Raw genomic sequence first — 19708 nt, forward strand, 5'->3', positions numbered from 1 at the left:
CTGCCTCTGACTGCTCTTATCTCTGGTCTGCTTATGCCTGAGTAATTTATGATGTAATCTCAACAGAGGCAGTGGGCGGCTGTGTCACAAATTCAAGGAAGCAAGGCAGAGAGCAGCCGTGATTGAGATGGCCCGACCTTCTCCACCTCAAAGCGATGGCCCTGCTTACCACTCAGTTTCCCTGTGTACTCCCCTCCACTTCCTTTAACGTCCTGGGAGAATTGGACCATGTTTCATATACAAGCTGCCCAAGCAGACGCTGATGCCCCACCAAAAATGATTTGTTGTCTGTGCACAGCTAGCTCTCGGCTCCTGTGTCTTGTGGTTGCATGAGCCCCATACTCATTAAATTATGATGGCTACCGTATCACCTGTTAGCTCTACATCATTGCCATGGCTCCATGTCTAGGACATAAAATAGGAGCAGCCAGGCTAGAGAGAGCAAGTCAGCTGAGGAATGAGGGAGGTAGCCATGGCGAAGTATTGGGATAAGCACCTTGGACCCAGTCAAAGAGTTCTTGGTCATCATTTACTTAGTGAACACTGACTGAGCACCTACTATGTGTCAGGTCTGAGGATGACACAGATAAATGAAGGCAGTGATGGTTATGAGAACAGGATTGAGAGCCAAACTGTGTTAAGGTCCAGGTCCTGTCATGTTTTATCTGTGTGATCTAAGGCAAGATCACAGAAAGAAAAGAACACAAAGCTGCCAGGCGTGGTGGCTCACACCTGTAGTTCCAGCACTTTGGGAGGCCGAGGCGGGCAGATCACGAGGTCAGGAGATCGAGACCATCCTGGCTAGCATGGTGAAACTCCGTCTCTACTAAAAATACAAAAAATTAGCTGGGCGTGGTGGTGGGCGCCTGTGGTCCCAGCTACTGAGGAGGCTGAGGCAGGAGGATGGCATGAACCCGGGAGGCGGAGCTTGCAGTGAGCAGAGATAGCGCCACTGCACTCCAGCCTGGATGACAGAGTGAGACTCTGTCTCAAAAAGAAAAGAACACAAAGCAAGGATGATAATGAGGGCTGTGGAAGCTCAGAGGTGGCCCCCAGCCAACCTGAGAAGTCACAGAAGGATGAAGGCAAAACCTGTGCCATCACTGAAGTAATTTCTCAAAGGGGTGTGGAAAAACCACCAGGACACGAGAGTGTGTGCCTTAACTACCCCCTTCTTCCAATCTAGTCCGTCAACAACTCCTGTGGTTTCTAACTTCAAAATACATGAATCTGTTTACTTTAGGTCTCTCCTAGACATCTGGGATGGCCGCCCAACTAATCTCCCATCTGTCATCTTAAGCCCTCTAAACCCAAATCCATGCTCCACATGGTAGCTGAAGTGATGCTTTAATAAAGTAAATCAAATCATGTTATTTTGCTCTTCAAGACCGAGGGTCAGCACACTTTTTGACGGCTCAGATAGTAAATATATTCATCTTTGTAGAACATCTAGTCTCTGACCCAGCAACTCAACTCTGCCATTGTTGTGCAAAAGCAGCTATGAGCAATAATAAGTAAATGAGTGTAGCTATGTTCCAATAAAACTTTACTCCATAAAAACAAGTAGCAGGCCAAATTTGGCCCACAGACCATAGTTTGCCAACCCTGGCTCAAGGTCCTTCAACACCCAGGTTTCCATTTATCTTAGATTGATTTCTCATGGAAACAGGCCCTGAGATGAGGATGCGAGGTCAGGACAAGTAGTTCATATAGGAGGTGAATCCAGGAAACACTAAGAGAGGAATGGGGAGGGAAACAGGAAAGGAAGAATGCCCAAAAAAGAGGCCTTAAGAACAATTATCGCCATGGGCAATGGAGTCCAATTCCACTGGGGAGCTCTGGAAGACAACGTGCAGCATGCCTCAGTAATCCTGCCTGAGGGGTGAGGGAGCTGGGGTATTTATACACCACCTCTGCTCAGTTATTAGTCAAAGGCTACTGCAGGGTAAGGTAGGGGGACATCAATTCCCTAGCACTTCCATCTGCCCAAAGGTTGGAAGAAATAGTCTTCAGTGGCCAGAGAACACCTCAAGGCACAGAGTTCCAGCTGCTTGAAACTGGAAGTAAAGATGAACGACATGCAAAGAAATAGTCTATGCCAAGGAATGGGGGCAGGGCTTCTGCAGCACCCCGTCTCACATAGAGAGAAATCCAAACTCCTCCCCAGGCAGTATTTTTTTTTTTTTTTTTTTTTTGGAAACAGAATCTCGCTCTCTCACCCAGGCTGGAGTGCAGTGGCGCGATCTTGGCTCACTGCAATCTCTGCCTCCCAGGTTCAAGCAATTCTCCTGTCTCAGCCTCTCAAGTAGCTAGGATTACAGGTGCCCACCACCATGCCCGGCTAATTTTTGTATTTTTAGTAGAGACGGGATTTCACCATGTTGGCCAGGCTGGTCTCAAACTCCTGACCTCAGGTGATCCACCTGCCTCGTCCTCCCAAAGTACTGTGATTACAGGCGTGAGCCACCACACCCGGCCCCCCAGGCAGTATTGAACCTTCCTGGTTTGTCCCCTGCCTGCTTTCCTGACCTCATCTCTCCTCTAGACACGCAGCTCTAGCCATGCTGCCCTGCAACAGTTCCTAAACCACACAACACTGTTCCCTCTAGTGACAGTGTGAACCACCTAGCCAGGCTTCTTCCTATTTCCCATGTCTCTGCCTTGGGAATCTCCTCTTCTGAAAGGTGCTCTCTTAGCCCTCATCTACAGTGCCCTGTTACTATACCCCTCAGCCCCGATCACGAGTTTGTTGTCATTTATGTGTGATCAATTTCCTTCACAGGCCACCATGTGAAAACAGAAACCAATGTCTGTTTTTTTCATGTATTCCTATAAGAAGCATAATGCCTGACATACAATACGTGTCCAACAAATAATTGTTAAATAAATGAACGCTGTTCTTCTGAAGGCCTGGGAGGTCTCCAGGCACAGTCTCTAAAATTCTCCCTCCCTCCCCCTGCCCGACCACTGCCAGGAGTCACCGCTTTCATCCTCCCCCTAGTGCAGGGAAGCATTTCTCAAGGATTTTATACAATCACAGAACATGCTATTGAAATATCTGAACTTTCTGGGTAGCCAGGGGCCTCAGTGAGCTCCAACTAGGTTACAGAGCATAGTCTCAGGAAGCCGCAAGGAAAGGAGGACCCCAGGAGCATGAGACCCTGCACCCAGTGCCAGGTCCCCACTGAGAGCCAAAGAGCGTGTGTGTTTGCCCTAAAACCAGTGGACTCAAGGCAGTCCCTTAAAAAGTTCAAGCACAGGCCAAGTGCAGTGGTTCATGCCTGTAATTCCAACACTTTAAGAGGCCAAGGCGGGCAGATCATCTGAAGTCAGGAGTTCGAAACCAGCCTGGCCAACATGGCAAAACCCCATCTCTACTAAAATACAAAAATTAGCCGGGTGTGGTGGCGGGCACCTGTAATCCTAGCTACTCAGGAGGCTGAGGCAGGAGAATTGCTTGAACCTGGGAGGAGGAGGTTGCAGTGAGCTGAGACTGGGCCACTGCACTCCAGCCTGGGCAACAGAGCAAGACTCTGTCTAAACAAAGAAAAAAGTGGGGGTGGGGGGAGCGAGAGCGGTGGCTCACGCCTGTAATCACAGCACTTTGGGAGGCCAAGGCAGGCGGATCATGAGGTCAGGAAATCGAGACCATCCTGGCCAACACGGTGAAACCCCTTCTCTACTAAAAATACAAAAAATTAGCCAGGCGTGGTGGCATATGCCTTTACTTCCAGCTACTCGGGAGGCTGAGGCAGGAGAATCCCTTGAACCCAGGAGGTGGAGATTGCAGTGAGCCGAGATCATGCCACTGCACTCCAGCCTGGGCGACAGAGCAAGACTCTGTCTCAAAAAAAAAAAAAAAAAATAATAATAATAATAATAATAATAATAAAAGGCTGGGCACAGTGGCTGACGCCTGGAATCCCAGCACTTCAGGAGGCCGACGTTGGGGGAACACTTGAGGTCAGGAGTTCAAGACCAGCCTGGCCAACGTGGCAAAACCCCAACTCTACTAAAAATACAAAGATTTGCTGGGTGTGGTCACGTGAGCCTATAATCCCAGCTACTTGGGAGGCTGAGGCACGAGAATCACTTGAATCTGAAAGGCTGAGTTTGCAGTGAACCGAGATTGTGCCACTGCACTCCAGCCTGGGTGACAGAGTAAGACTCTGTCTCAAATAATAATACTAATAATAATAACAAAAAAATAAAATAAAATAGTACTCACACAACTGATAAGCTTACCAGAAACTGAAGTTAAGTATTTGTTTTATGCTATAAATTAAAGCATATTCCAGATGAACTAAAGGATTATATCCAGAAAACAAATCATAAAACAATTAGAATAAAATCTATGTTGATAGCTGATATGAGTCAGGGAAGTCATTCCAACCTTAAAAGTCTTAAGTTCCGGTCTTAAATTATTTCTTCCTTAAATGGTAAGAAAGAAATAAAAAGAAGAAATAATAAAAACTCCAGGAGTCAAAACACACACACACACACACACACAAATACTGTAAATACAGTGAAAAGTCACTGGGGGAAAATTATTTATATTGATACATGATTAATGGTGACAGTTCTAATTAATTATATGAAGAGTGTTTTATATATATGTGTATATATATATATATACACACATATATACACATATATACATATATATGTGTATATATGTATATATGTATGTGTATATATATATGTGTATATATATGTATGTGTATATATATATGTGTATATATATGTATGTGTATATATATGTGTGTATATATATATATGTGTATATATACATATATATATATGAAAAATAAGTAAATATCCAAATAGAAAACTTTTGGCAAAATGTATAAGCCAACATTAAAAAATTGATAAATTAAAATGGTTAATAAACATTTAAGACAAGTGACAATAATAATCAAAGGGATGTAGAATAAGTAAAATAAGAAGAAATCATTTTCACTTATCAAACTGACAAAAATAAAGAAAAATGTTCCCATTGTTGGAGAGGGCTCAAAAAGAGATATACACACACATCGTTGCTGAAAGCAAAAATGGATAGCAACTTTCTGGAAAATAATTAAACAGTATTTATCAATTTCTCTAAAATGTGTATGCCCTTTGATTAATTACTATTCTGGAGAACTTTCCTTGAAAATAATTGAAGATGTGCACTGAGATTTATTTAATAAGAATGTTTGATCATAACATTGGTTATAAGAGTGAAAAACTGGAATAAACCTAAGTGTTCTAAAATAGGCTGATTAAATAAATGATGGTACATCTATGCCTTAGAATAGTACACAGTCATGAATACTTGAGCACTTAAAAATAGTCACAGTATATTTATTAAAAAACAAAATAGAAAAAAATGAAGATAGACAAAGAATATAGACCAATGTTATTGGTGTTGAACTTCTGAATAATGTTTAATTTTATGTTCTTTGGTATGTTTTTACTTTTTCTTAACTTACAAAATATTTCTTTTTTCTTTTTTTTTTTTTTATCATTTTTTTGAGACGGAGTCTCATTGTGTCGCCCAGGCTGGAGTGCAGTGGCACGATCTCAGCTCACTGTAACCTCCTCCTCCCGAGTTCAAGCAATTCTCCTGCCTCAGCCTCCTAAGTAGCTAGGACTACAGGCACCCGCCACCACGCCCGGCTAATTATTTGTATTTTTAGTAGAAACGGGGTTTTGCCACGTTGGCCAGGCTGGTCTCAAACTCCTGGCCTCAGGTGATCCGCCTGCCTTGACCTCCCAAAGTGCTGGGATTACAGGGGTGAGCCACCACACTAGGCCCAAAATATTTCATTATAAGCATATATTACCTGCATAAAAATATATATATATTAGGAGTGTCATGAGCTGAGATGGCACCACTGCACTCTAGCCTGGGCGACAGAGAGACTCCATCTCAAAAAAAAAAAAAAAAAAAAAAAAAAAAAAAAAAAAAAAAAAATATATATATATATATATATATATATATATAATATGTGTGTTTGTATATATGTATACATATATGTAGATATATATATGTGTATATATATGTATATATACCCATACATATATGTATGTATATTTTAAAAAGGCAACAAAAAACACCACAATGAGTAGGAAGCCTCTTCATGTTTCTTTTCTTCTACTTTTTTTTTTTTTTTTTTTTTGAGGCGGAGTCTAGCTCTGTTACCAGGTTGGAGTGCAGTGGTACAATCTCAGCTCACTGCAACCTCCAACTGCCTGGTTCATGCGATTCTCCTGCCTCAGCCTACCAAGTAGCTGGGATTACAGACACACACCACCATGCATGGCTAATTTTCGTATTTTTAATAGAGATGGGTTTCACCATGTTGGCCAGGATGGTCTCGATCTCCTGATCTTATGATCCGCCCTCCTCGGCCTCCCAAAGTGCTGGGATTACAGGGGTGAGCCACTGCGCCCTGCCTCTTCTACATTTTTTGTATTGTTTATTTTTTTATTTATTCATTCATTCATTCATTCATTCGTTTATTTATTTTTGAGACGGAGTCTAGCTCTGTTGCCCAGGCTGGAGTGCAGTGGTGTGACCTCAGCTTACCACAACCTCTGCCTGCCAAGTTCAAGTGATTCTCCTGCCACAGCCTCCTGAGTAGCTGGGATTACAGGCACGCACCCCCATGCTCGGCTAATTTTTGTATTTTTAGTAGAGACGGGATTTCACTATGTTGGGCAGGCTGGTCTTGAACTCCTGACCTCGTGATCTGCCCGCCTTGGCCTCCCATAGTGCTGGGATTACAGGTGGGAGCCACCACGCCTGGCCTCTTTATATTTTTTATACTGAGCTTATGTTTATCTTGGCGTGAGGTGTTTTTTCTAATTTTTCCAGGAACATATCAATATAGTATGACCACAACATGTGAAAGAAACTAAAAAAGTGGTAAAAATGCATTAAAATTAAGTGGCCACTATAGCAGTTTTCTGCCCCAGAGGAGTAGAGAAAAGGTCTCAGGGCACAGCTGAGCAATTGCCCCTAAATTAGCTGAAGTCCCTCTAGGACCTTGTCTTCCAGCACTTATTACAGTTGTAATTTTATCCTGCTTGGCATGATCATCATTAATGAATGCCTACCTTCCTCACTTACACTAAAATTAACAGCTTAGCATTATAATGGTACACACCACATGCCAATCGTTTTTCTAAGCACTCTGCCTATATTATTTCCTTTAATCCAAACAAACAACCCTCTGAGGTGAGTACAGTTTTCTCCTCCATATGACAGATGAGGAAACTGAGGAACAGAGAGGGCAAATAAGTTGTTCAATCTCCACAGGCTAGTAAGTGGCAGAGTTGGGATTCAGCCAGGCCAACTGGCTCCATTGTTTGTGGTCTTGGCCAATTCTCTACCAGGCGTCAGCAGATTGCAACCCATGGGCCAAGCCCAGCCCCCACCATCTGTTTTGTTTTTCAATAAAGTTTTATTGAAACACAGCCATGCTCATTTGATTACTTATCTATGGCTGCTTGCACTTTACAACAGCCAAGTGAAGCATTTGCTACGGAAACTTACATGGATCTCTCCTCGCTCCACACCGCTGCATGGCACCCTCTGGGTTACAGTGATGCCATCATAATACAATTTCATTTTTTGTTCCCCAAGGCCAAAAATATCTACTATCTAGTCGTTTACCAAAAATCTTTGACGAGCCCCATTACTCTGTCACTAGATTTCAGACTCATGAAGACAGGAGCAAAATCCTGCTTGGTCTCCCACTGTTTCACCAGCTCCTGCAACAGAGTCTATCAGCCCTCACACTGCACAGTTGCTTAAAAAAAATAAAATTATGTATACATAGAAAAGAATCAGGCCGGGCATGGTGGCTCATGCCTGTAACCTGAGTACTTTGGGACGCCAAGGCAGGCAGATCACTTGAACCCAGGAGTTTGGGACCAGCCTGGACAACATGATGAAACTCCATCTCTACAGAAAATTTAAAAAATTATCCAAGTGTGGTGGTATGTGCCTGCAGTCACAGCTACTCGGGAGGGTGAGGCAGGAGAATCATCTGAGTCCCAGAGTTCAAGGCTGCAGTGAGCCATGATTGTGCCACTGCACTTCAGTCTGGGCGACAGAGCAAGACCCTGTCTCAAAAAAGGAAGGAAGAGAGGGAGGAAGGGAGGGAGGAAGGAAGGGAGGAAGGGAGGGAGGAAGGGAGGGAGGAAAGAAAGGAGGGAGAAAGGGAGGAAAGGAGGGAGGGAGGAAGGGAGACAGGGAGGAAGGAGGGAGGAAGGAAGGATCAACAGATACGTGGAGGAGCCAAGATGGCCGAATAGGAACAGCTCCGGTCTACAGCTCCCAGCGTGAGCGACACAGAAGACGGGTGATTTCTGCATTTCCATCTGAGGTACCGGGTTCATCTCACTAGGGAGTGCCAGACAGTGGGTGCGGGTCAGTGGGTGTGCGCACCGTGCGTGAGCCGAAGCAGGGCGAGGCATTGCCTCACTTGGGAAGCGCAAGGGGTCAGGGAGTTCCCTTTCTGAGTCAAAGAAAGGGGTGACGGACTCACCTGGAAAATCGGGTCACTCCCACCCGAATATTGCGCTTTTCGGACGGGCTTAAAAAACGGCGCACCACGAGATTATATCCGGCACCTGGCTCGGAGGGTCCTACGCCCACGGAGTCTCGCTGATTGCTAGCACAGCAGTCTGAGATCAAACTGCAAGGCGGCAGTGAGGCTGGCGGAGGGGCGCCCGCCATTGCCCAGGCTTGCTTAGGTAAACAAAGCAGCCGGGAAGCTCCAACTGGGCCCAGCCCACCACAGCTCAAGGAGTCCTGCCTGCCTCTGTAGGCTCCACCTCTGGGGGCAGGGCACAGACAAACAAAAAGACAGCAGTAACCTCTGCAGACTTAAATGTCCCTGTCTGACAGCTTTGAAGAGAGCAGTGGTTCTCCCAGCACGCAGCTGGAGATCTGAGAACGGGCAGACTGCCTCCTCAAGTGGGTCCCTGACCCCTGACCCCCGAGCAGCCTAACTGGGAGGCACCCCCCAGCAGGGGCACACTGACACCTCACACGGCAGGGTATTCCAACAGACCTGCAGCTGAGGGTCCTGTCTGTTAGAAGGAAAACTAACAAACAGAATGGACATCCACACCAAAAACCCATCTGTACATCACCATCATCAAAGACCAAAAGTAGATAAAACCACAAAGATGGGGAAAAAACAGAACAGAAAAACTGGAAACTCTAAAACGCAGAGCGCCTCTCCTCCTCCAAAGGAACGCAGTTCCTCACCAGCAACGGAACAAAGCTGGATGGAGAATGACTTTGATCAGCTGAGAGAAGAAGGCTTCAGACGATCAAATTACTCTGAGCTACGGGAGGACATTCAAACCAAAGGCAAAGAAGTTGAAAACTTTGAAAAAAATTTAGAAGAATGTATAACTAGAATAACCAATACAGAGAAGTGCTTAAAGGAGCTGATGGAGCTGAAAACCAAGGCTCGAGAACTACATGAAGAATGCAGAAGCCTCAGGAGCCGATGCAATCAACTGGAAGAAAGGGTATCAGCGATGGAAGATGAAATAAATGAAATGAAGCGAGAAGGGAAGTTTAGAGAAAAAAGAATAAAAAGAAATGAGCAAAGCCTCCAAGAAATATGGGACTATGTGAAAAGACCAAATCTACGTCTGATTGGTATACCTGAAAGTGATGGGGAGAATGGAACCAAGTTGGAAAACACTCTGCAGGATATTATCCAGGAGAACTTCCCCAATCTAGCAAGGCAGGCCAACGTTCAGATTCAGGAAATACAGAGAATGCCACAAAGATACTCCTCGAGAAGAGCAACTCCAAGACACATAATTGTCAGATTCACCAGAGTTGAAATGAAGGAAAAAATGTTAAGGGCAGCCAGAGAGAAAGGTTGGGTTACCCTCAAAGGGAAACCCATCAGACTAACAGCGGATCTCTCAGCAGAAACCCTACAAGCCAGAAGAGAGTGGGGGCCAATATTCAACATTCTTAAAGAAAAGAATTTTCAACCCAGAATTTCATATCCAGCCAAACTAAGCTTCATAAGTGAAGGAGAAATAAAATACTTTACAGACAAGCAAATGCTGAGAGATTTTGTCACCACCAGGCCTGCCCTAAAAGAGCTCCTGAAGGAAGCGCTAAACATGGAAAGGAACAACCGGTACCAGCCGCTGCAAAATCATGCCAAAATATACAGACCATCGAGACTAGGAAGAAACTGCATCAACTAACGAGCAAAATCACCAGCTAACATCATAATTACAGGATCAAATTCACACACAACAATATTAACCTTAAATGTAAATGGACTAAATGCTCCAATTAAAAGACACAGACTGGCAAATTGGATAAAGAGTCAAGACCCATCAGTGTGCTGTATTCAGGAAACCCATCTCACGTGCAGAGACACACATAGGCTCAAAATAAAGGGATGGAGGAAGATCTACCAAGCAAATGGAAAACAAAAAAAGGCAGGGGTTGCAATCCTAGTCTCAGATAAAACAGACTTTAAACCAACAAAGATCAAAAGAGACAAAGAAGGCCATTACATAATGGTAAAGGGATCAATTCAACAAGAAGAGCTAACTATCCTAAATATATATGCACCCAATACAGGAGCACCCAGATTCATAAAGCAAGTCCTGAGTGACCTACAAAGAGACTTAGACTCCCACACATTAATAATGGGAGACTTTAACACCCCACTGTCAACATTAGACAGATCAACGAGACAGAAAGTCAACAAGGATACCCAGGAATTGAACTCAGCTCTGCACCAAGCGGACCTAATAGACATCTACAGAACCCTCCACCCCAAATCAACAGAATATACATTTTTTTCAGCACCACACCACACCTATTCCAAAATTGACCACATACTTGGAAGTAAAGCTCTCCTCAGCAAATGTAAAAGAACAGAGATTATAACAAACTATCTCTCAGACCACAGTGCAATCAAACTAGAACTCAGGATTAAGAATCTCTCTCAAAACCGCTCAACTACATGGAAACTGAACAACCTGCTCCTGAATGACTACTGGATACATAACGAAATGAAGGCAGAAATAAAGATGTTCTTTGAAACCAATGAGAACAAAGACACAACATACCAGAATCTCTGGGACTCATTCAAAGCAGTGTGTAGAGGGAAATTTATAGCACTAAATGCCCACAAGAGAAAGCAGGAAAGATCCAAAATTGACACCCTAACATCACAATTAAAAGAACTAGAAAAGCAAGAGCAAACACATTCAAAAGCTAGCAGAAGGCAAGAAATAACTAAAATCAGAGCAGAACTGAAGGAAATAGAGACACAAAAAACCCTTCAAAAAATTAATGAATCCAGGAGCTGGTTTTTTGAAAGGATCAACAAAATTGATAGACCGCTAACAAGACTAATAAAGAAAAAAAGAGAGAAGAATCAAATAGACGCAATAAAAAATGATAAAGGGGATATCACCACCGATCCCACAGAAATACAAACTACCATCAGAGAATACTACAAACACCTCTATGCAAATAAACTAGAAAATCTAGAAGAACTGGATAAATTCCTCGACACATACACTCTCCCAAGACTAAACCAGGAAGAAGTTGAATTTCTGAATAGACCAATAACAGGAGCTGAAATTGTGGCAATAATCAATAGTTTACCAACCAAAAAGAGTCCAGGACCAGATGGATTCACAGCCAAATTCTACCAGAGGTACAAGGAGGAACTGGTACCATTCCTTCTGAAACTATTCCAATCAATAGAAAAAGAGGGAATCCTCCCTAACTCATTTTATGAGGCCAGAATCATTCTGATACCAAAGACAGGCAGAGACACAACCAAAAAAGAGAATTTTAGACCAATATCCTTGATGAACATTGATGCAAAAATCCTCAATAAAATTCTGGCAAAACAAATCCAGCAGCACATCAAAAAGTTTATCCACCATGATCAAGTGGGCTTCATCCCTGGGATGCAAGTCTGGTTCAATATATGCAAATCAATAAATGTAATCCAGCATATAAACAGAGCCAAAGACAAAAACCACATGATTATCTCAATAGATGCAGAAAAAGCCTTTGACAAAATTCAACAACCCTTCATGCTAAAAACTCTCAATAAATTAGGTATTGATGGGACGTATTTCAAAATAATAAGAGCTATCTATGACAAACCCACAGCCAATATCATACTGAATGGGCAAAAACTGGAAGCATTCCCTTTGAAAACTGGCACAAGACAGGGATGCCCTCTCTCACCACTCCTATTCAACATAGTGTTGGAAGTTCTGGCCAGGGCAATTAGGCAGGAGAAGGAAATAAAGGGTATTCAATTAGGAAAAGAGGAAGTCAAACTGTCCCTGTTTGCAGATGACATGATTGTATATCTGGAAAACCCCACTGTCTCAGCCCAAAATCTCCTTAAGCTGATAAGCAACTTCAGCAAAGTCTCAGGATACAAAATCAATGTTCAAAAATCACAAGCGTTCTTATACACCAACAACAGACAAACAGAGAGCCAAATCATGAGTGAACTCCCATTCACAATTGCTTCAAAGAGAATAAAATACCTAGGAATCCAACTTACAAGGGATGTTAAAGACCTCTTCAAGGAGAACTACAAACCGCTGCTCAAGGAAATAAAAGAGGATACAAACAAATGGAAGAACATTCCATGCTCATGGGTAGGAGGAATCAATATCGTGAAAATGGCCATACTGCCCAAGGTAATTTACAGATTCAATGTCATCCCCATCAAGCTACCAATGCCTTTCTTCACAGAATTGGAAAAAACTACTTTAAAGTTCATATGGAACCAAAAAAGAGCCCGCATCGCCAAGGCAATCCTAAGCCAAAAGAACAAAGCTGGAGGCATCACACTACCTGACTTCAAACTATACTACAAGGCTACAGTAACCAAAACAGCATGGTACTGGTACCAAAACAGAGATATAGATCAATGGAACAGAACAGAGCCCTCAGAAATAATGCCGCATATCTACAACTATCTGATCTTTGACAAACCTGAGAAAAACAAGCAATGGGGAAAGGATTCCCTGTTTAATAAATGGTGCTGGGAAAACTGGCTAGCCATATGTAGAAAGCTGAAACTGGATCCCTTCCTTACACCTTATACAAAAATCAATTCAAGATGGATTAAAGACTTAAACGTTAGACCTAAAACCATAAAAACCCTAGAAGAAAACCTAGGCATTACCATTCAGGACATAGGCATGAGCAAGGACTTCATGTCCAAAACACCAAAAGCAATGGCAACAAAAGACAAAATTGACAAATGGGATCTAATCAAACTAAAGAGCTTCTGCACAGCAAAAGAAACTACCATCAGAGTGAACAGGCAACCTACAAAATGGGAGAAAATTTTCGCAACCTACTCATCTGACAAAGGGCTCATATCCAGAATCTACAATGAACTCAAATTTACAAGAAAAAAACAAACAACCCCATCAAAAAGTGGGTGAAGGACATGAACAGACACTTCTCAAAAGAAGACATTTATGCAGCCAAAAAACACATGAAAAAATGCTCATCATCACTGGCCATCAGAGAAATGCAAATCAAAACCACAATGAGATACCATCTCACACCAGTTAGAATGGCAATCATTAAAAAGTCAGGAAACAACAGGTGCTGGAGAGGATGTGGAGAAATAGGAACACTTTTACACTGTTGGTGGGACTGTAAACTAGTTCAACCATTGTGGAAGTCAGTGTGGCGATTCCTCAGGGATCTAGAACTAGAAATACCATTTGACCCAGCCATCCCATTACTGGGTATATACCCAAAGGACTATAAATCATGCTGCTATAAAGACACATGCACACGTATGTTGATTACGGCATTATTCACAATAGCAAAGACTTGGAACCAACCCAAATGTCCAACAATGATAGACTGGATTAAGAAAATGTGGCACATATACACCATAGAATACTATGCAGCCATAAAAAATGATGAGTTCATGTCCTTTGTAGGGACATGGATGAAATTGGAAATCATCATTCTCAGTAAACTATCACAAGAACAAAAAACCAAACACCGCATATTCTCACTCATAGGTGGGAATTGAACAATGAGATCACATGGACACAGGAAGGGGAATATCACACTCTGGGGACTGTGGTGGGGTGGGGGGAGCGGGGAGGGATAGCATTGGGAGATATACCTAATGCTAGATGACGAGTTAGTGGGTGCAGCGCACCAGCATGGCACATGTATACATATGTAACTAACCTGCACGACGTGCACATGTACCCTAAAACTTAAAGTATAATAAAAAAAAAAACAGATACATAAATGAGTCTTAGCTAATACCTTCATATGTGCTGTGTAGTGACGCTTGCCTAGTAAGACATCATGCTGAGAAATGGACTGATTCTCACAGCAGCCCGCAGGGTACTAGTCACCCCCCATTTCACAGATGAGAAGATTCGCATTGCTCAGTATCACACACCACTTGACATGTAGACCTGAAATTCAGACTTAACGTTTGTGGTGTGGGAAAGTCCACACTCTTGTGAGCCCCTAGCATGAGTCTTGGGAAATGGTGGGCCCTTTAAAAATGATAGTTTCTTCACTATGTGCAAACTTTAGGGACCTAAGGCCCATGCTATTACCAAGAGGTGTTGCAGGACTTCTAAGAAGACCCGGTGAGGCCTGGAGGCTGCAGGATGAATAATGGAGGACAGGCACTTCCCGGAGAAAGTGAACATGACAAGCAAAGACCTTTGAAATATGAGCTGGTGTCTCACTTCCCCCTCTAGGTCTTCCAGCCCCTCCTTGGTCTGCTTCCCAGGCTCCAGAACTAAGCTCCTCCTGTCTCGAGGGAAACCGAACGGCTTTGGGAAAACACACGATGTTCTCAGAAGTAAGGGCAAGCTTCCTGCGCCCCCAGCCTGTCCTGCCTGCGCTCATCCTGGATTGATTACTTTTATCGTCCCCCTGTGGCCCCAGATATGCTCCAAAGGACTCAGCAGGCCTGAGACTCTGTCTGGTCTGGCTCCTGCCATTCCAGCACATTCTACACTCCAGCCAAACTGGAGTCCTCTGGATCCCAGCACCTGCCACCGTACCTTTGCATGTGCTGGGACCCTGGTCTTCCCACTGTCCCTCACCCTTCAGCTTCCCCTAAGGACTGCCTCTGACTCTCGGCTTAGAAAAAGTCCCCTGCCCTCCAGTCCCACCCTGGACCTCCCTCTTGCAAAGGTCCTGGCAGTTGCAGTCACATGAGCTGTTGCAAAGATCCTGGCAGTTGCAGTCACATGAGCTGTTGCAAAGGTCCTGGCAGTTGCGGTCATGTGAGCTGTCTGCTTGTCTCCCACATGCACTAGGGGCAGGGCTCCAGCAGCCTTCCCCCTCATGCCCCAGCCTGCGTCCCCAGCACCACACCCTGTGGCTAAGACACAGTGGGAGCGCAAAGAAGTCACGTTGGCGTGGTGCACATGACAAAGGCCGGGTGATAGTCTCGCTCCAAGCAGCCTCAGGTATGCTCCTGTGATGGTTAAGTGTCAGCTTGATTGGACTGAAGGATGCAAAGTATTGTTTCTGAGTGTACCTTGGTGTGTCTGGGTGTTGCCAGAAGACATTATCATTTGAGTCAGTGGACTGGGAGAGGAAGACCCACCCCCAGGAAGATGCACCTACAGTGTAGGTGGGCACCATCCAATCAGCTGCCAGTGCAGCTAGAAAAAGCAGGCAGAAGAAGGTGGGATAAGCTGGCTGGCTGAGTCTTCCAGCCTTCATCCTTCTCCTGTGCTGGATTCTTCCTGCCCTTAAACACCAGACTCCAGGTTCTTCAGCCTTTGGACTCTTGGACTTACACCAGTGGTTTGCCAGGGAATCTCAGGCCTTCGGCCACAGACTGAAGGCTGCACTGTCGGCTTCCCTACTTTTGAGGTTTTGGGGCTTGGACTGAGCCACTACTGGCTTCCTTGTCCTCAACTTGCAGACGGCCTATTGTGGGACTTTTACCTTATGATCATGTGAGTCAGTTCTCCTTAATAAACTCCCTTCCATATATACATATATCCAGCCGGGCACGATGGCTCATGTCTGTAATCCCAGCACTTTGGGAGGCCGAGGCAGGCGGATCACTTGAGGTCAGGAGTTCAAGACCAGCCTGACCAACATGGTGAAACCTCGTTTCTGCTAAAAATACAAAAAGCAGCCAGGCCTGGTGGTCTGCACGCCTGTAATTCCAGCTACTCGGGAGGCTAAAACAGGAGAACTGCTTGAACCCAGGAGGTGAAGGTTGCAGTGAGCCAAGATAGCACCACTGCACTCTAGCTTGGGCAACAGAGTGAGACTCTGTCTCAAAAAAAATAAAAACAAAAATAAATAAAAATACAAAAATTAGCCAGGCGTGGTGGCAGGCACCTGTAGTCCCAGTTACTCAGAAGGCGGAGGCAGGAGAATTGCTTGAACCTGGGAGGTGGAGGTTGCAGTGAGCTGAGATTATACCACTACACTCCAGCCTGGGTGACATTCCAGAGTGATACTCCGTCTTAAAAAAACAAAACAAACAAACAAACAAAATATATATATATACATATGTCCTATAAATTCTGTCCCTCTGGAGGGCCCTCACTGCATTATAGAGGAAAACGTGCATCATGCACGGCAGAGATGAAGACACAGAGGCCCAGGTGGGAGAGCTTACAGCTGTGCAGAGCCATGGAGCAAACGGAGACCCGAGCCGAACCTCAGATCCTGAACTGCGCTGTGACAGCACAGGATCCCCTCAGCCACAAGACAGTGCCTCCTTCTACTCTTTTGCTCTCCCATTCATACTCAATATGTGGGTATTAGACTGGGAAAGAAGATCACGTGTGTTAATGTACGATCAGTAACATACCTTATATAATACACATTAATATATTATTGAGCACTGACTCTGCATTAGGTTCTTGGCACAAATAATCTGTTTTAATTCTTTTACAATTTCCTTAAAACACACATGCTCAACAAGGTGATATCCCCCCCAAATGGGCAAAAATTAATTATTGGGGAATGAAAAGCCTTAGCGATTGCCATGGTCTGTGGCCTTCCAAAGGGCCACAGAACATAAACAATATAGTAAGTATCTCTGATATTAAAATGTCATTGGTCATGGGGTCAGGCACGGCAGCTCAAGCCTGTAATCCCAACACTTTGGGAGGCTGAAGGGGGAGGATCACTTGAGGCCAAGAGTTCAAGATCAGCCTGGGCAACAAAGGGAGACCCCTATGTCTAAAAAAAAAAAAAAAAAGAAAGAAAGAAACAATTAAAAGGCATAGAATGTAGGTCTGTTTTAAAAAAAAAAAATTCATGGGGAGGGGACAAGTAGGAACAAAATGTCTTAAAACACTCCTCAAGGGAGCAATTAAAAATAAAAAGGCAATTTTAAAAAAAGGCTCACACCTATAATCCCAGCAATTTGGGAGGCCAAGGTGGGAGGGTTGCTTAAGCCCAGGAGTTCGAGACCAGCCTGGGCAACGTAGGTAGACCCCCCCCAATCTCTACAAAAAAAAAAAAAAAATCTGTTAAATTAGTCGAACACGGTGGCATGTGCCTGTGGTGGGAAGCTACTACTTGGGAGGCTGAGATGGGAGGATCACTTGAGCTCAGGAGGTCAAGGCTTCAGTGAGCCATGATCACACCACTGCTCTCCAGCCTGGGCAACAGAGTGAGACCCTGTCTTGAAAAATATGAATAATTTTTAAAATAAAAGGTTGAGTAACACCATCCTAAAATGTAGGTGTTCTCATGAATTCCGTGGTACAGGCTCAGAGAGGCAAGCTAATTTCCCCAAAGTCACACAGCAAGTAATGTGAATTCTTGTGTAGAGAAAGAATTCAAACCCACATCTATCTAAAGCCAAAAGCCACACCCTAAATGACGTCTGAATCATCTGCAGACATTAAGTCAGCAACAGTAGTAAGAATGTCCTCCAGATCTCGCCCTCAAACCAGCAGGAACGGTGGCTTCTGATAGCTTGGTAGAAATGCAAACTCAGGCCCTGCCCCAGACCTACTGAATGTGAATCCGCAAGGCGCCCTCATGACTGTGCACAGGCCTTTGCTAAGGGAGCTGGGATTCCCACGGCCACAGCTGAGCAACCCTCATCTTCCCTGAACAGCAGAGACAAAGACGCCTACGACTGTTCCCACATCCGAGGTCCCCAGCCCCAATCAGAAACTCCCTTGTCAGACTAATTATACTTATGGGTGTTCCGTGACTTGCTGTATTCCCAGAAAAAGAAAGAAAAATGAAGTTCTCTTTCAGGTTTTCAGGGTAGATAATGTCAAATATTTACAGAGCAAACATCATTCTAGAGGCGCGCCATTCTCTTTCTGCTGATTAGAGCACTGCCAATCACGCCTTGATGAGAGGGCCTGTCAGCCTTCTCAACAGCAACCCCGTCATCTCGACTGAACTGGGCATGCCTGCTGTGCTGGGGAATGCAGGGAGAGGTTCTGAAGGCAGGCCTTTGGAAGGAGGGGGCTCCAGGGTTGCCAAAGACTCACCTCTGTGGAGTAGGACGGGCTTGAAGCTGGCTGTTCAATGAAGATGCTGGAGGAAGACAGAAGAGAGGCCTTTGGTGGCCTCTCTCGTAAACCAGAGCTTCTCAGACTCGAGCTAGCATCAGAACCACCTGCAGGGCATGATACAGTGACTGGCCCTGCTCCCAGGATGCAATAGGTTTAGAATGGGGCCTGATGATTTGCCGGTCTGCAAAGCTCCCAGGTGATGCCACTGCTCTGAGCACCACACTTTGAGAACCAGGTCCGAACCTTTGCTAGTCCAGGTGTGAGCCTCTGAGCAGTACATTCAGTGTTACCCAGGAGCTTGTTAGAATGCAGAATCTTGAGAGGTGATTAATGAGTACAAATATAAAGTTAGAACAAATAATCTTCTCGTGTTCAATAGATCAGTAGGGCGACTATAGTTAGCAATAATCTATTGTACATTTCCATCTAGCTAGAAGAGAATAATTTAAATATTCATAGCATAAAGAAAGAACTTTTTTTTGAGATAGGGTTTACTCTGTCACCCAGGGTGGAGTGCAGTAATGCAATCATAGCTCACTGCAGCCTCAATCCCCTAGGTTCAAGCGATCCCTCCACCTCAGCCTCCTGAATAGCTGAAATGACAAGTGTGTACTACCACACATGGCTAATTTTTTAAATACAGACTGGGTCTCACTATGTGGCCTAGGCTGGTCTCAAGCAATCTTCCCTCACAAAGGGAAGCCTCAACCTCCCAAAGTACTGGGGTTATAGGCGTGAGCCACTGTGACCAGCCAAGAAAAGATAAATATTTAAGGTGATAGATATCCCAATTATACTAATTTGATCTTTACATATTATATAAATGTTAGCAGAATATCACAGGTACCCTGAAAATATTTACATTTATTTTATATCAATAAAATCTTTTAATTAAAAAAAAAGAAATGCAGAATCTTGGAACCTACTCTAGCTACTGAACAGAATCTGCATTTTAACAAGATCTATGAGTAATAACTGTGCACATTAAACTTTGAGAAGGCCTGGTCTGTCCATAATTACACATCAGAATCAGCTGGAGCAGCTGTTAAATGCAGATTCCTGGGCCCCACCCTGGATTTAAATAATCAGAATATTTGAGGAGCAGGACCAGGGAAATAGTATGTTTAAGGAAGTGCGCAGGTGAAGGCTCATAAAGTCAGTG

General features: G+C 44.1%; 1 long non-coding RNA gene across 2 annotated transcripts in view, besides 3 other annotated features; it reads right to left on the reverse strand.

Moving 5' to 3' along the window:
- TSHZ2-AS1 (TSHZ2 antisense RNA 1) overlaps window positions 1-8747 on the reverse strand; it is a 72348-nt gene extending 63601 nt beyond the window's left edge. For both annotated transcript variants that reach the window (NR_187667.1, NR_187666.1), the window contains exon 1: window positions 8538-8747. This is a non-coding gene — a long non-coding RNA (TSHZ2 antisense RNA 1). The remainder of the gene's footprint in view (window positions 1-8537) is intronic.
- Window positions 8499-9149: an enhancer, noted in NCBI's record as "H3K27ac-H3K4me1 hESC enhancer chr20:52120609-52121259 (GRCh37/hg19 assembly coordinates)". NCBI's record gives its function as "activates a minimal SCP1, AML or CMV promoter by ChIP-STARR-seq in primed H9 embryonic stem cells {active_cell/tissue: H9 hESC(primed)}" and the evidence as "EXISTENCE:reporter gene assay evidence [ECO:0000049][PMID:30033119]".
- Window positions 14823-15324: an enhancer, noted in NCBI's record as "H3K4me1 hESC enhancer chr20:52126933-52127434 (GRCh37/hg19 assembly coordinates)". NCBI's record gives its function as "activates a minimal SCP1, AML or CMV promoter by ChIP-STARR-seq in naive H9 embryonic stem cells {active_cell/tissue: H9 hESC(naive)}" and the evidence as "EXISTENCE:reporter gene assay evidence [ECO:0000049][PMID:30033119]".
- Window positions 15325-15824: an enhancer, noted in NCBI's record as "H3K4me1 hESC enhancer chr20:52127435-52127934 (GRCh37/hg19 assembly coordinates)". NCBI's record gives its function as "activates a minimal SCP1, AML or CMV promoter by ChIP-STARR-seq in naive H9 embryonic stem cells {active_cell/tissue: H9 hESC(naive)}" and the evidence as "EXISTENCE:reporter gene assay evidence [ECO:0000049][PMID:30033119]".

The sequence above is a fragment of the Homo sapiens genome, chromosome 20 (genome assembly GCF_000001405.40).
Source record: "Homo sapiens chromosome 20, GRCh38.p14 Primary Assembly".
Taxonomy (NCBI): Eukaryota; Metazoa; Chordata; class Mammalia; order Primates; family Hominidae; genus Homo; species Homo sapiens.